The sequence below is a fragment of the Homo sapiens genome, chromosome 9 (assembly GCF_000001405.40).
Source record: "Homo sapiens chromosome 9, GRCh38.p14 Primary Assembly".
NCBI lineage: Eukaryota > Metazoa > Chordata > Mammalia > Primates > Hominidae > Homo > Homo sapiens.
The window spans coordinates 12,827,970-12,843,243 of NC_000009.12; positions in this window are offsets into that span (position 1 = coordinate 12,827,970).

Consider the following 15,274-nt stretch of genomic DNA (forward strand, 5'->3'; position numbering starts at 1 on the left):
AAAATGGCATAATCATTAACTTGCAATTAAGGAATAATATAAACCATCAAGGCTTAGGGTTCAGGGTATCTCTGTTTTACCTCCTCATGACTGTGTTTGAATTAAGTAACTTTGGAATAAGTAACTTTGCTTCTTTGTGCCTCAGTTTTCTCATTTGTAAAATGGACACAATGAAATCTGCCTCATAAAATTGATGGAGAATTAATTAATATTTAGAAAGTGCTTGAAATATAACCTAGCACACAGAAACACTTAATACATTATGTTATTATCATTATAATAAATAATCAAGTAATCTGTTTTATAGCTAAGAAGGAAGAAATTAAGACTAGCTCATCATAGTGCATATAATTTAAGTATATATACTATTGTGTGACCAATCCAATAACTTCTCAATCTCTCTGGAAAATATCTTCCATAAAGTCTGCAGAAATAAAATAGTTACATTCATAGCCCCCTAGTTGCTAGCCATGGCCATAGGACAAAGTTTTGCCCAATAAACTATAAGCAGAAATCTGAGAGAGGTTTCTGGAAAACCTTTGCTGACTTTGAGCTGTCTATATAAACCATTCTTAAACTAACAATATTTTGAGATTTTCACATCCGTATTTCCTATGGCAGTTGTAAACTCTTGCAGGAAAAGAATGTTTAAAGTGCAACTTGCATTTTAGTACTGTTAACACACAGTGCTAGCAGTGAATTAAACAAACGAAATACAGTTGTTTTTATTCCATCCTCAGTGTTACCTTAATACAGCTAATTGATATGGAGATGTTTTTTAAAAAGCAAAACAAGTTTTCACCTTTACAGTACATGCTTTAGAATAATAGGTCTTCAGAATGATCACACGATGCTAAATTCAGCTTGTTTTCTTTAATTTACTTTCTGGAAACCTACGAAGGTGCATAGAGAATTCTTTAGACATGGAGACTTTGTAAAGCATTGTTAATTTGCCCTCTCAAATTTCACTTGGAGCTATGTTTTAAAAAGAGGAAATAAATATTTATGTAATGTGTCACTTTCTTCTTTTAGATCACTTACAAATATAACAGCAGTTAAATGATAATGTCTTATTTGATAGATTTATTATAAATACAAAAACAAAGCCAATATTATTAGGAATAGAGTTTAAAATGGAGCTATACCTGACCTACTTTTTCCTACTAGGTTTGTCAAATCAATCAGCGAGAAAATAATAGGTGACAAAATGATGGCTGGATATAGTATTTATGGTATACATATCATTTATCATAGAGATTATTTTGATTGAATAGATGTTCAAAATAATTTATCAAAAATCTGTCATGATTCTATCTTATTCCAAATTTGTACTACTGATAGAACTTTAAAATACTAAAATCCTTGCAGATTTCATTGGCACGGTTCTAGGCAAAAATATCTGCCAGCATTCAGAGTGAAAGTCCTCATCAAATTGAGGGCTAAGTCTCCCACTTGAGTTCATGACAGGCACAATGTGAATACTCCCAAATCTCAAGACCAGCAGATCTATGAAAATGGCTGAAATCTCATGTAGTGTGTTCCAAGATGGCTGACTAATTAGAAAAAGTGAAAACCTTGAGCCTTTCAGAGAATTTGCAAAGTTAGACAAGTTGGGTCCATTAAACACTATTTTGAAAAAATGAAAATATTACAGTAAAAATGTTATTCTTTTTCTATTTGAGTTTTCTATTTTGTTGAGGAACATATATGAACTCACAGGTCTTGAAAGTCTTAAGAATTCAAGTCTGAGGTTTTGCTCTGGAACGGGGACCAGAAAAACGAACGACATGCAGTTTTCACCACAAGTTTTTTATAATTTTTATCATCACATCTGATATGTGATCCACTGTTATCTTAGGAGTGCTATGAAGAAATCCAAATTGCCAATTGCTGGTGTTGCCATCATTTGGTAGCTTGGAATGATTTGGTTTCATTTAAAGTTGAACAATTCAATTTTATATTAACACTGTGATCCATTCTTTCTTTTAGTGATGCAAATATTTCCACATTCTTCCATTCCAGCTTTGTGTTTCTAATTAAGAAAGTCTACTCTACTTCATATTTCACATATTAGGTTCGTGCAAAAGTAGTTGTGTTTTTGGGATGTGAATTTGAAATCATTATCATAACTAGGCTCAAACACATATTTATTAATCAAAATAGGAACCATTACAATCAACAGATTTTTGCCAATGAGAAATAAGTTTGTTTACTTCTGGAGCATAAAAATCCATGCTTTGAGATTCGACGAACTCTTGGAAAGCATTTTCTGCATCCTGCTGGTTGTGGAAGCATTTTCCCTGCAAAAAGTTGTCGAGATGTTTGAGAAGTGGTAGTCGGTTGGTGAGAGGTCTGGTATGTATGGTGGATGAGGCAAAATTCATAGCTCAATTCGTTCCACTTTTGAAGTGTTGGTTGTGTGACTTGTGAGCGGGTGTTGTCATTAAGAAGAATCAGGGCCCTTTTTGTTGAACCATACCAGCTGCAGGTGTTGCAGTTGTTGGTGAATCTCATTGATTTGCTGAGCATACATCTCAGATGGAATGGTTTCACCAGGATTCAGAAAGCTGTAGTGGATCAGACTGGCAGCAGACCACCAAACGGTTACCATGACCTTTTTTGGGTGCAAATTTGGCTTTGGGAAGTGCTTTGGAGCTTCTTTTCAGTCCAACCACTGAGATGGTCGTTGCTGGTTGTTGTATAAAATCTATTAAAATCATTGCATGTCACAATCAGATCAAGAAATAATTCGTCCTTGTTGCATAGAATAAGAGAAGGCATTTCAAAACAATGATTTTTTGGATTTTCACTCAGCTCATGAAGCACCCACTTATCGAGTTTTTTCACCTTTCCAATTCACTTCAAATGCCACGTGACCATAGAATGGTCGACGTTGAGTTCTTTGGCAACTTCTCATGTAGTTGTAAGAGGATCAGCTTCGATGAATGCTTTCAATGGGTCATTGTCAATTTCCGACGGCCGGTCACTGTGCTCCTCATCTTCAAGGCCTTCGTCTCCTTTGTGAAACTTCTTGAACCACACTGTATGTTCGTTAGCAGTTTCTGGGCCAAATGCGTTGTTGATGTTGCAAGTTGTCTCTGCTGCTTTATGACCCATTTTGAACTCAAATAAGAAAATCGCTCTAATTTGCTTTTTGTCTAACATAATTTCCATAGTTTAAAATAAACAGCAAGTAATAAGTAATTAGCAAAACAAACATAAACTGAGAAATGCCCATTAAAATTATGTATAACATAATCACATTTATTTAAGAATGTATTCCAATATCAAACAGCAAATTCCAACAATGTAAAAACAGCAATTACTTTTGCACTCACCTAATAGATTCATTTGGAAGCAAGGACTACAAAATATTTTTAATGTAAAATGTTTATTTAGTGACACTTATTCTGTAGTTCTATACTCTAACGTAATCCCTTTAAGGACTTTCTATTGCAGAATCATCTTCTTACCTTAGAGGTCAAGCCTAAAACTTTATCTGCCCAGTATCAGCTTTTTGCAATGTAAGATCACTCTTCCTTCTCAGTGAGAGGGGCAAAAAGACTAGAAATGTCATAAAGATTTAAGAAATGAACCAGATAACCAAATCTTTACTAAAGATTCTATTAGTAACAAACATTAATAATAAAGGCAATGGTACAAAAAGTTATGCAAAACCACAAATCATGCTCAACAGCCAATAAGATCTTTCAGAGGCCAGAAAGATCATCAGAAAAAGGTCACATTGGTGAGGACATGAGAATACAAAGATAAAAGTGTGTAACCTTGATAAAGGAACGCAGGGAAAGAAGTCTAAGTTCAAATGGAGAAAAAGAGTAAACTCTTATCTACTAACGTCAGGCAGTTCTAAAGACCAGCAGAGGTATGGCTCATGAGCAGGTCAAGCTAGATTAATGAGCCAGGGAAAGGCAAATACCCACTGTTGCCACCATGAACGTTAATCTCCCTATTTTCTGAGTATGCTCTGAGAATACTATATTAATATCATCACTTTTTCTTCTCCATGCTCAAGAATGTCTTTCTCTCAGTTCTCTATCATCCAAATCCATTTATCTTTGAAGATGTATCTTCTCCAGATAGCAGTCAGCTTTTCTCTAAACCTATAATATTCATTGATTGTACTATATGCTTTGGTACTTAAGAATTTACTCTTATATGATCTGAGGATGTGTGTGTGAGTTTACTCTCAAATTGCTTATAAATAAGTTTTAGTTTCTCATTGTCTGTAATATGATATATCTCATAATATTCACTGTCAGTATATGCCCAACAGATATTTCTAGAATTAAATTAATTGAATTTATTAAGACCTACCAACAAATAAAAGTAACTTCCCTGCCATCAAAAACAATAGAAAAAAGTATTCATACCATATGATTATTGTTATTTATTTATTACTATTTTTAAATTGTATTATAATATATATTACCATTATTTAAAATGTTTAAGTTAGCATAAAAACTATTATTTAAATTGCTTTTGCTATATGTAAAAAATATGAGAGCAAAAATAAAAGGTAGCAAACAAAAACATTAGTAAGTTGTATATTATTTTGACTAGAAAAGCCAACTACCAAATTAAAATGTTTAACAAAAGCATTAATAAAATGAATAAATAGATGAATATTTTTAAAAATCTGTAGTTTCATTGTATGCCATCATCATTTGAGAGACGTGACAGGATCCCATTCACAATAAGATAAAAATACATAAAATATTTAAGAGTAATTGCAAAAATAAATGATTTTTACCTACCTGAAAAAAAATAGACCTTTCAGAAATATATAATATAAAATTTGGAAAAAATCAAATATATTGTAAGAAGTTAAATTTTTCTCATTAATTTATATTTAAGGAAAGTAAATAAGAAAGTAAAAGAGATTGTTGTAGAAGAGAAAAGGAATAAATAAATCAATTTTGAATTTCATCTGGCTAGAAGACCAAGCAAAAATATGACAGTATCTATTCAGCAAAGGAAGAATAAAGAAAAATTTCCTATCTGATAATAAATGCTTTTAGAGCTATAATAATTAAAACAATGTGTTGCTGGAACAAAAATAGATCTCTTAGAATAGATTATATTTTTTATATATTATATATAAAGGTTATATATAATATATAAATATTTAATGTTTAAGAAGTATCTGAAAACAAGAAGGAAAATAGTTTTTTCAACAGTATTGAGATAATGTGTTAGAAATTTAAAGACAAAATCTATTTTTGTTGTTGTTGTTTGTTTGTTTGTTTTTTGATGGAGTCTTGCTCTGTCACCAGGCTGGAGTGCAGTGGTGCAATCTCAGCTCACTGCCACCTCCGCCTCCCAGGTTCAAGCAATTCTCCTGCCTCAGCCTCCTGAGTAGCTGGTACTACAGGCACACGCCACCACGCCCAGATAATTTTTGTATTTTTAGTAGAGACGGGGTTTCACCATGTTGGCCAGGATGGACTCAATCTCTTGACCTTGTGATTTGCCCACCTTGGCCTCCCTAAGTGTTGGGATTACAGGCGTGAGCCACCAAGCCCAGCCAAAAATCTGTTTTAGACTCACAATTTACGTGATAAACCAAAATAAATCCCATGTGTATTAAATTGTTAGTTTTTTAAATAACTAAAGAAAACTAGAGAAGACATTTAGTTTTAAATATACTGAGATAAAAATCAGTTATTAACACAATGAAAATTTTTATATGTAAAAAAGTTAAAACTATGAAATTTAGTAAAAAAGACAAGTATGTTGAGGAAAATAATTGCAGCAAATAGAATAACATAATGAATGTAATTGGTAAAAAATAATCAAAGTGCTGGGATTACAGGGATGAGCCACTGTGCCTGGCTAACAAAGTCTGTTTTACAATCAAGTATTGAATATCTCATGTAACTTATTAAATACTGTACTGAAAGTGAAAGACAGAATGGGTACTAGATATATGCTTTCAACTGAATGTGCATCACTTTCACATCATCACAAACTCAAAACTAATGTCAAACTATTGTAAGTTGGGTATTGTCTGTACGTTATTTAATTTTATTTTTATGGATTGGATTTGATGGATTAAGTTTTAGATTGTTTATTATTGGAAATATCAGATTTCCCTTATTATAATTGTGAAGTTCATATGCTCTATTGAGAATTTCTTTAGACTCATAGTCTACTGTACTGGGTTTAAATCTGAAGATTCCAATTATGAGCTATATGATTATCTGCCAACATGTTTTCTCATGCATCGAGCTGAAAATTTATCTTTCAAGGCTGGGTGAGCGGTACATCAGACAACATTACTATAAAACGTTCCACAAATATTAGGGAACATATCTCCTGCCTCACTTATGAAATGGTTCTGCAGTCCTCCCCAGAAGGCAGCTTTACAGGGAAGCGCTTATCAATTACGTGTTATTGTTTCATGATGGTGATTTTTTTCATGATTCATCCGAAAGATTTGCAAATGAAATATTCCATAAAGCAAGACAACCTTGAAAATGCCATAGTTTCAGAAAAGCTGGATAAGATAATCAGCTGTTATTGAAACTAAGCTTGATGTGATTTGGTATCATGCTCTGAGCTTGTCACTAAGAATATCTGATCTCTACCCATAAACAAACTGTTTAAAAACTAGTTAAAAGCTATCAGCACTAAGAATGATTGAATTTATTTAACTTAGTGCTGAATATACTGTAGATACTAAACAACTACGTACTATACGACCAATACCGGAAAAATATTCCATTAACTAGTCATTTTCTAGAAAACCTTTCAATGTTGTTTGACTAGTTTTAAATCAAATTCATAATTTGATTTTGTATAACTTGATTTTGGAATAATGCTTTTTGTTTCTCAGACTTGCCCAATTACTTTTTGATTTGCGCATTATCCATGTGTGGCTCTGCTTGTTTTTATAAATAAACTCTGAGTAAAATGGCTCTCACTGAAATTGCACTCATTTGAGAATGCGTATGTCCATGTGTTTATGGATACTGGCTTTCTTCTCTTAGCTTGACTTACCAAATTAACTGCCACTTGTTATTTATGTTAGAATTTAATCTGAATTAAATTCTCACAAAAGAAATAAAAACCTCATTTTAACATGAAGAGTTTGGTAGAATCCCTTGAATAAGGAAGAGAAAAATATGTTTATATACTGATAAATGAGGCTGTAGGTGGTTTTATGAAATGGTGTGGTTTTATGAATTAAAATGTTACCCTATTTTAAGATTTCTGACAAAACATGGGATCTATAATTATTCACTCAACAAACATATTTATGATGAGCTCTAACAGAGGTGGGTGCTTTGTTGGAGTTAAAGTTTTAAAAAGAAAAATGGCAGAATCTGATTTAAAAATTTTCATAGTTGCACAAACAAGCAAAGTAAGTGCAATAGTGACTGTGGCAGAAATCACAATAATTTTTTTTAAAACCAGATATTGACATTCCCCCAATCTTCTAAGAAGTATCATTTGTAAGCAAAGTCTGATTAAGCGGTTACTGTTTTTCTAAGAAGGGTCATGACAGTCTGTTCATAATCAGTAAACCCAAAGAGGCATTGACAAGCTTTAAGGTTGAGATATAAGTACCTTATCTTACCTCTGAAATATGTAAGAATTGGCAAGAAGGTTGGAGGACTTAGGGCAATGATGGAAGGGAAGAGTTAGAAAAGAAAAACCAAATTACAATGCAATAGAGAAATGTGGAGAAAGATTGAGAGATGAAGAAGCTGTTATGAACACTGCATCATTAGTTGGTAAAGCAAAGAGAAAATTTAAGTCAGACTACTCGGAAATATGGTAGGGTTATATATATATGGTACAGTACCTCCACTGGGATATTAAGAATCTTTCAGTAAAGATGAAGGTTGCTCTTCAATGCTTCTTTAGAATGATTTGTGTGTTTTTCCAGATGCATCCGCATTTGAGATTGAACTTAAGTTTAGCTGAGTGGATCAAGATGGCCCACATTTGTTTGGAAGTTATGTTTGAAGTGTTATGAGAAAAGAGAGGAAAGAGTTGCTTATTCAGTAAATGGATAAGTGGAATGAAGAAAAGACTTCAAATGCAGTCTTTCGGCTGGGTGTGGTGGCTCACACCCATAATCCTAGCACTTAGGGAGGTCAAGTCAGGCAGATCACTTGAGGCCAGGAATTTGAGATCAGCCTGGCCAACATGATGAAAATTCGCCTCTACTAAAAATACAAAAATTAGCCAGGTGTGGTGGTACATGCCTGTAGTCCCAGCTACTTAGGAGGCTGAGGCATGAGAATCGCTTGAACCAAGGAGGTGGATGTTACAGTGTGCCAAGATTGTGCTACTGCACTTCAGGCTGGGCTACAGAGCAAGACCCTGTGTGTGTGTGTGTGTGTGTATACAGAGAGTCTTTCAACAAAACTTAAAGATATCAAAAAAAAGGGATGAATATGTGTAAAGGCAAGAGTTTCCTGTTTAAAGCTACTAAATAAAATTGGGGATATCAGACATTATGAGTCTAACGATGAGATGCAATAGGAAATGAACGATATCACCTAAATTTTGGTACCTACAGAAGCAGGAACCATTGTATTCTCATCAAACATCTGAGCTAACTACTGTGGTTTTATAAATATATGAGGGATAAAAGGGCAAGTGAGGATACAAGAAAATGCGAACACTCAAAATCAAGATAAATACATTCCACAGGACAAATGTGCAGGTTCTCCAAATAAGGGAAGAAGAGAGAACTGTCAAATGAAAAAAAAAGTTAAGACACCATAGCTAAATACAATATGTAGACCTTGTTGGAGCTAAATTGAAGCAAATCAACAGGAAAATAGCTTTCTTTGAGAAAAGTTAAAAATCTGAATATACAAATACACTCTGGGTATCAGATATTATTAAAGTATTAATGTTAATTCAGTTAGGTGTAAACATAGAGAGAATTTTGAAATTTTTTATCAGAAATACATACTAATGCATGAAATAACATGACTACAATTTACTTTAAAATACCATAGTTAAAAATGTAGGAGGTGGAAAATAAAAATAAAATTAGTCAATGTTGATCTTTTTTGAAACTGGGTAATGAATAGGTTTATGGGTGCTTACTGTACAATTTTCCCTTTTGTATCGTTCTTAAATTTTTGATAATAAAAAGTGAAAACTAAAGAAAATGGAGAAAAAGTTTCCCTGCTCCTTTTTACTTCTCTGGAATCACAGTTCCAGAACTTCCATTTGGTTCTTCTTCATGTGTTCCATTTCTCTGCTAATATTTTCTATCTTTTCATTTACAGTGAACTTATTATCTTTTACATTTTTGAACACCAAATGAGTAGCTGCTTTAAAATTCTTCGACAATTCCAACATCTGGGTTATCTCAGAGTTGGTTTCCGTTATTTGGGTTTTTTTCTAGAAAATAGTTTACATTTTCTAATTCTTTATATGCCAAGTAATTTTGAATTTAATGCTGGATTTTGTCAATGTTATGTTGTAAAGATTCTAGATTCTGTTATATTCCTCTGAAGAATGCTGATTTCTTAGTTTTACCAGACAATTAATATAGTTGGAGTCCAAAAGTAAATTTTGCCTTTGGGCTGCTCAAATGTCATTTTATTTAGTCTTTTATTCTTAGCTGGATTTTGTCCTGTGTCTGGTACAGACAAAGTCATGGGCAAAATTTTAGGCAGTATTTGGAAGTCCTCCTCTCTGATTCTCCCTCCTTCTTAGAATCCCACCTCATTTTCAGTAACTACGGTTGCCTTAAACTCTGTTCTCTGGCTCTTCAGTCCTGAAAGTCTGCAGGTAGAGTTACAGCTAACTCAAGGAATCAACTTCAGTGGGCTTTTAGACTAAATGTTATAAAAACAGCAAAATCACCATATGCCATTTCCTTCTCCCTATTGTCAACTTACCTCTAAAATCTACCTGTTTTTATTTACTCTCCAGTTCTTCACATCATTTTAAATGTTTTTGTCCAAGATCTACTGTTGTGATTCTTGGGAAGGTTGGGTTTGGTCAGAACATTACTTGGCATACTACACACAAAAATCAAATGGTAGAAGCATAAGGATATTTAAAAATATGAGTATAAACAAACCCTAGAAGAATAAGAAAACAAAATAAGTTGAAAGATCATGGTAATGGCAAAAAAAAAATGAATGTGAAAAGAAAGGTAAATGTACAAATTACAAATAACAAATATCCCATTTGTTATAGACATGACATTAGTGCTAAAAATAACACAGTCAGTATTTTAGGGGTGCTAATAAATACATGAATTAGTGGATGGGAATGTTGTAGAGTAGTTGACGATAAATTTGATAAAATGGGTTAGTATCGAATTTTGATGAGCTTCGTGTGATATGCTGGTATCTGAATTTTTTCCTTATAGAAAGATAAGGAGCCCAATAGGCAATGGAAAAAAAAGCTATTCATGTAATTAGAGTTCCTTGGGAGAAGATTTGCAGAGGCCTCAAAAATTATGTAATTTTAAATTATGAAATGTAAATAGAAACAGAAAGTGAAATTTATATCCAAAAGCAAATTAATAAAATTTTGCAGACAATTCAAAAGTTATTGCTTCATGTTCCATGTTTATTTTTTTAAGCAAACAAAGAAAAAAAATGCATCCCTAACACATTGGTCCTATCTATCAAGAGTAAGCCTGAGAATAAATTGCCATTTTTGTAAGAAACTTTGCTCATTTTAAAAATAAAACTAAATGTTACTTAGATATTACAAGTATGACTTTCTTAAGATATTAATAGTTTTGGAATTGCTATAGCAACAGTGGGCTGCAAACATCCTCCCACAGAACAAGGAGGCATTCCACAAATGGCTAGGAAAGAAAAAAGTGACCAATTTTATATCAGTCATTTTACTTAGAGGATTATTAATTTAATTTATTCTTTCAACAAACCAACATTTGGTTTCATTGATTTTCTCTATTATTTATACATTTGCTATTCCACTGATTTCTTCCTTACATTTATTATTCATTTTTTCTACTTAGTTTCAATTTAATTTGCTCTTTTTAAAATAGTGTTCTAACAAGAAAGTTTAGATCATTAATATTATATCTTTCTTCTTTAGCTTTAGCTTCATCACACACATTTTGATATATTATACTTTTATTATAATTCAGTAACTTATATTTTCTCACTTATCTTATGATTTCTTTTTGACCCATTAGTTACCTAGAAGTACGCTATTAAATTTCCAAATATTTAGGCTTTTTCTAGTTTTTTAGTACTGTTAATTTCTAATTTAATTCAGCTATGGTCAGAGAACTATGAAGACTTCTTTTATGGCCCAGAGGTGGTTTCTTTTGGTGACTTTTTCATATGTCCTTTAAAATAATGAGAATCTTATACTGGTTGGATACAGTGTTCTCTACATAGAAATGGGGTTACAGTTTGATAGTGTTATTCAGATCTTCTCTATCTTTTCAAATTTTTATCTAGGCTTTGTATTGATTATAGATAGAGTTAAAAAAAAATTCCAGCTAAAGTTGTGGAGTTGTCTATGTCTTCCTTAAGTTCTATTAGCTTTTGCTTCATGTAATTTGAAGCACTCTTATTAGGTGCCTGTGTTTGTAACCGTCTTATGTTCCTGAAGTATTAACCCTTTTACCACTACAAAATGTCATTCTTTGTCACTATCACTGCTCCTTTTTCTCAATTTCTATGTTTTCTGATATGAATAGAACCCTTTGGCTTTATTATGTCCAGTACTTGTAAGGTACATCTTTGCCCATCCTTTTAGTTTCAAGTGATTTGGGTATATGTGTTTAAAGTGCCTCTTGTAGGTAGCATACAATTGCTTCTTGCTATATTTTATAAAGTTTTAAAATTTCTGCCTTATACTTGAAGTGTTTAGTTGATTTATATCTGATGTAGTTATTGATATGATTGTTTCAGATATGATATTTTGTTATTGTATTATATTTATCAGTTTTCTCTGCAGCTTCTTTCCTGTCTTCTCTGTGTTAATCAACTTTTTAAAAAATCCATCATTTCAGTTCCTTTATTGGCTTTCTAGCTACATCTCTGTTGAGGGAATTACAATATGTATCTGCTGTGGTCTAAATGTTTGTGTCCCCTCAAAATTCACATGATGAAATTCTAACCCCCAAAGAGATGGTATTAAGTGGTGGGGCAACTGGAAAATTATTCGATCATGAGAGCAGAGTCCTGATAAATGGTAATAGCACCCATGCAAAAGAGGCATGAGGCAGCTTGTTTGCTCCCATCATGTGACGATACTGCAAGAAGGCACAATCTATGAGAAAACAGGCTCTCTTTATATAAGACACCAAATATGCCTATACTTTGATCTTGGAGTTCCCAGTCTACAGAACTGTGAGAAGCAAATTTTTGTTGTTATAAGCCACCCAGTCTATGAAATTTTGTTACAGTGGCCTGAATGGACTAAGAAAGTATCTTTAATATCACAATGTTATAGCTAATATTTAATAATATAAGGTGGTGTATAGGAAGCTTGCAACAGTAAATCAATTTTTGCTCCACTCATTATTTTTCCATTTTTATTGCATCATACACACAAACACACACTGACTATAATAACACCTGGGGGCTTTCTCCTCAAAGAAATTCTTACAGAACTTTATGTACTGGCCGGGTGTGGTGGCTCACACCTGTAATCCCAACACTTTGGGAGACCAAGGCAGAAGGATTGCTTGAGCTCAGGAGTTTCAGACCAGCCTCAGCAACATGGCAAAACCCCATCTCTACAAAGAAAATAAGAAACAATAAAAATTAGCCAGGCGTGGTGGCACACATCTGCATTCCCAGCTACTCAGGAGGCTGAGGTTGGAGAGTCACTTGAGCCTGGGAGGTGGAGGTTGCAGTGAGCCGAGATTGTGCTACTCCCGTCCAGCCTGGGTGATGGAACCAGACCCTATCTCAAAAACAAAAAACAAAACAAAAAAAGAAAAAAGAATGTTATGTAGTTCAGGATGTTTGTTGATGATGAATTTTCTCAAATGTTGCTCAATTCAAGTTTTCCTTTTTTTTTTATTTTTGACAAATTATTTTGCCAGATACAAAACTCCTAAGATATATATTACATATGTGTATGTATATATATGTACATATGTTTTTCTATCACTTAAAATACATTATTTCAATGTCCCATGTCTTCTATCGTTTTCAATAAGAAATCAAACAATAGTTGTAATGTGTTGCCTTTTTTCCTTTACCTGTTTCCAAAATTTTCTCATCTTGCTTTCAGCAATTTGACTTTGATGGGTGTACGAGTGGTTATACTGATTGATGTTTGCTGGTATTATTTAATCTGTAGGTTAACATTTTCAGTCATATATGAGAGGTTTTCAGCTATTATTCAAATAATTTTTACCACTTTCTGTTTTCCCTGTCCTAAAGACACTGCAATTACATGCATATTGAACTGTTTGATATCGTCACACAAGTCTCCAAGGCTCTGTTCATTTCCCATCAATCCTTTATCTCTCTGTGCTTTGAATTGAGTAATTGCTATTGAAATATTTTCATGTTCACTGATTCTTATAACTTGTATATCTAATTCACTTTTTGATCCTATCTAGTAAATTCTTCATTTCAGATATTACACATTTCTGCTCTAGGAACTCCATTTTTAATAGTTTTCATTTTTTCCATTGGAATTTTCTAACATTGTATTCATTAAGATGATTTTTTAAATTCTCTCAACATAGTCTTATTTAAAATTAAATATAATATCTTTAAAATTCTCTCAACATAGTCCAAATTTTTTGGATGTGTTGAAAGTAGCTGCTTTGAAACTTTCTTCTGTTAAATACAATATTTGTTACCAGTCTGAGTTTATTCCTATTCACTGCTATTTAATTCTCCTGAGTTTGGATCACAATTTTCTGGTTCTTTCTGTATTCAGTGATATTTAGATAATGCTTTGTAGCAACTCTGGAATCTTTTGCCTTTTTTGAGCTTTTTTTTTTTTTTCTTAGTAAGCAATTAACTTGCCTAGACTCAAATGGTATCTCTTCCGTTGTATATTGTAGTTCTGTAGCTGACATATCTGCTTCGATTTCTGTTCACTTTTCAACTTAGTTCTCTGGCGGTTTCTCCAGGGTCTGCAATATTTAGCACTCGGTCCAGTATTTGGGCAAATTTTATACTAGATTTGGGGGCTCACCTTCTCTGTGGATTTTTTTCTGGGAAATCTTTCTTACATTTTTAGCTTCTCAGCCAGCCTTGGCCTATGTGCTTTGACATCTCAAATTAGCATGGCTTCAGCTAACTACCACTTGACCTACACATAGACTGAGAAATGCACTTAATGAAGTAGAAAACAAAAAAACTGTCATTTGGTCCAGCAATCTCTTTCAGAGTTAAGTTCCCCTCTCGTCCCTGCCTTTTTATTCCCAGTACCTTTGATTATCACCTAGATTGTAAAGGTGAGCAGTCAGATAGAGATTTCTGTGGAAATTATACCCTGACCAACAGGGTCTCGCCTCTTGGTTCTCTTGTTTCCAAGATTCCCCAATTTCCTAGCTTATCTTTCAATATCGATCTCTGTTCTTTACTTCCCTGAGCCAAGACAGTAAGGCGGAAGTGTTCTTCCGTTGTAACAATGTTCTATAGAGTAAATGTTTGTGTCCTCCCAAAATTCATATGCTGTGGCCAGTTGTAGTGACTCATGCCTGTAATCCCAGCACTTTGGGAGGCCAAGGCAGGTGGATACTTGAGCCAAGGAGTTTGAGACCAGCCTGGGCAACCTAGCAAAACCCCATTTCTATAGAAAAAAAAAAAAAGAAAAATCCAATATTCATATGTTGAAACGTAATCCCCAATGTGATGGTATTCCCAGGCGAGGCCTTTGGAGGTGATTAGGTTACAAAGGCAGAGACCTCATGAACAGAATTATTGCCATTACAAAAGAAGCTCGAGAGAGCGCCTTTGCCTCCTTTAACTATATGAGGTTACAGTGAAAAGACAACCACCTACCAACCAGGAAGCATTCCCTTACCAGACACCTAATCTGTAGGCTCATTGATCTTGAACTTCTCAGCCTCTAGAATTGTGAGAAATACATTTCCATTGTTTATAAGCCACTCAGCTACAATAGTTCGTTACAGCAGCCCAAATGGAGTAAGGCACCAATGGGAGTAAAGAAGTGCTCTTAGGCAAGAAAGTCACACACAATCTTTACTTCTTTGAATTTTAGGTTTTTAAAGGTATGTTCTCTTCCAGTTTCTGAATGATTTTTAATTCTTTCCCATACCTTTAAGGAGTTGTATTTAATATTTTCTCCA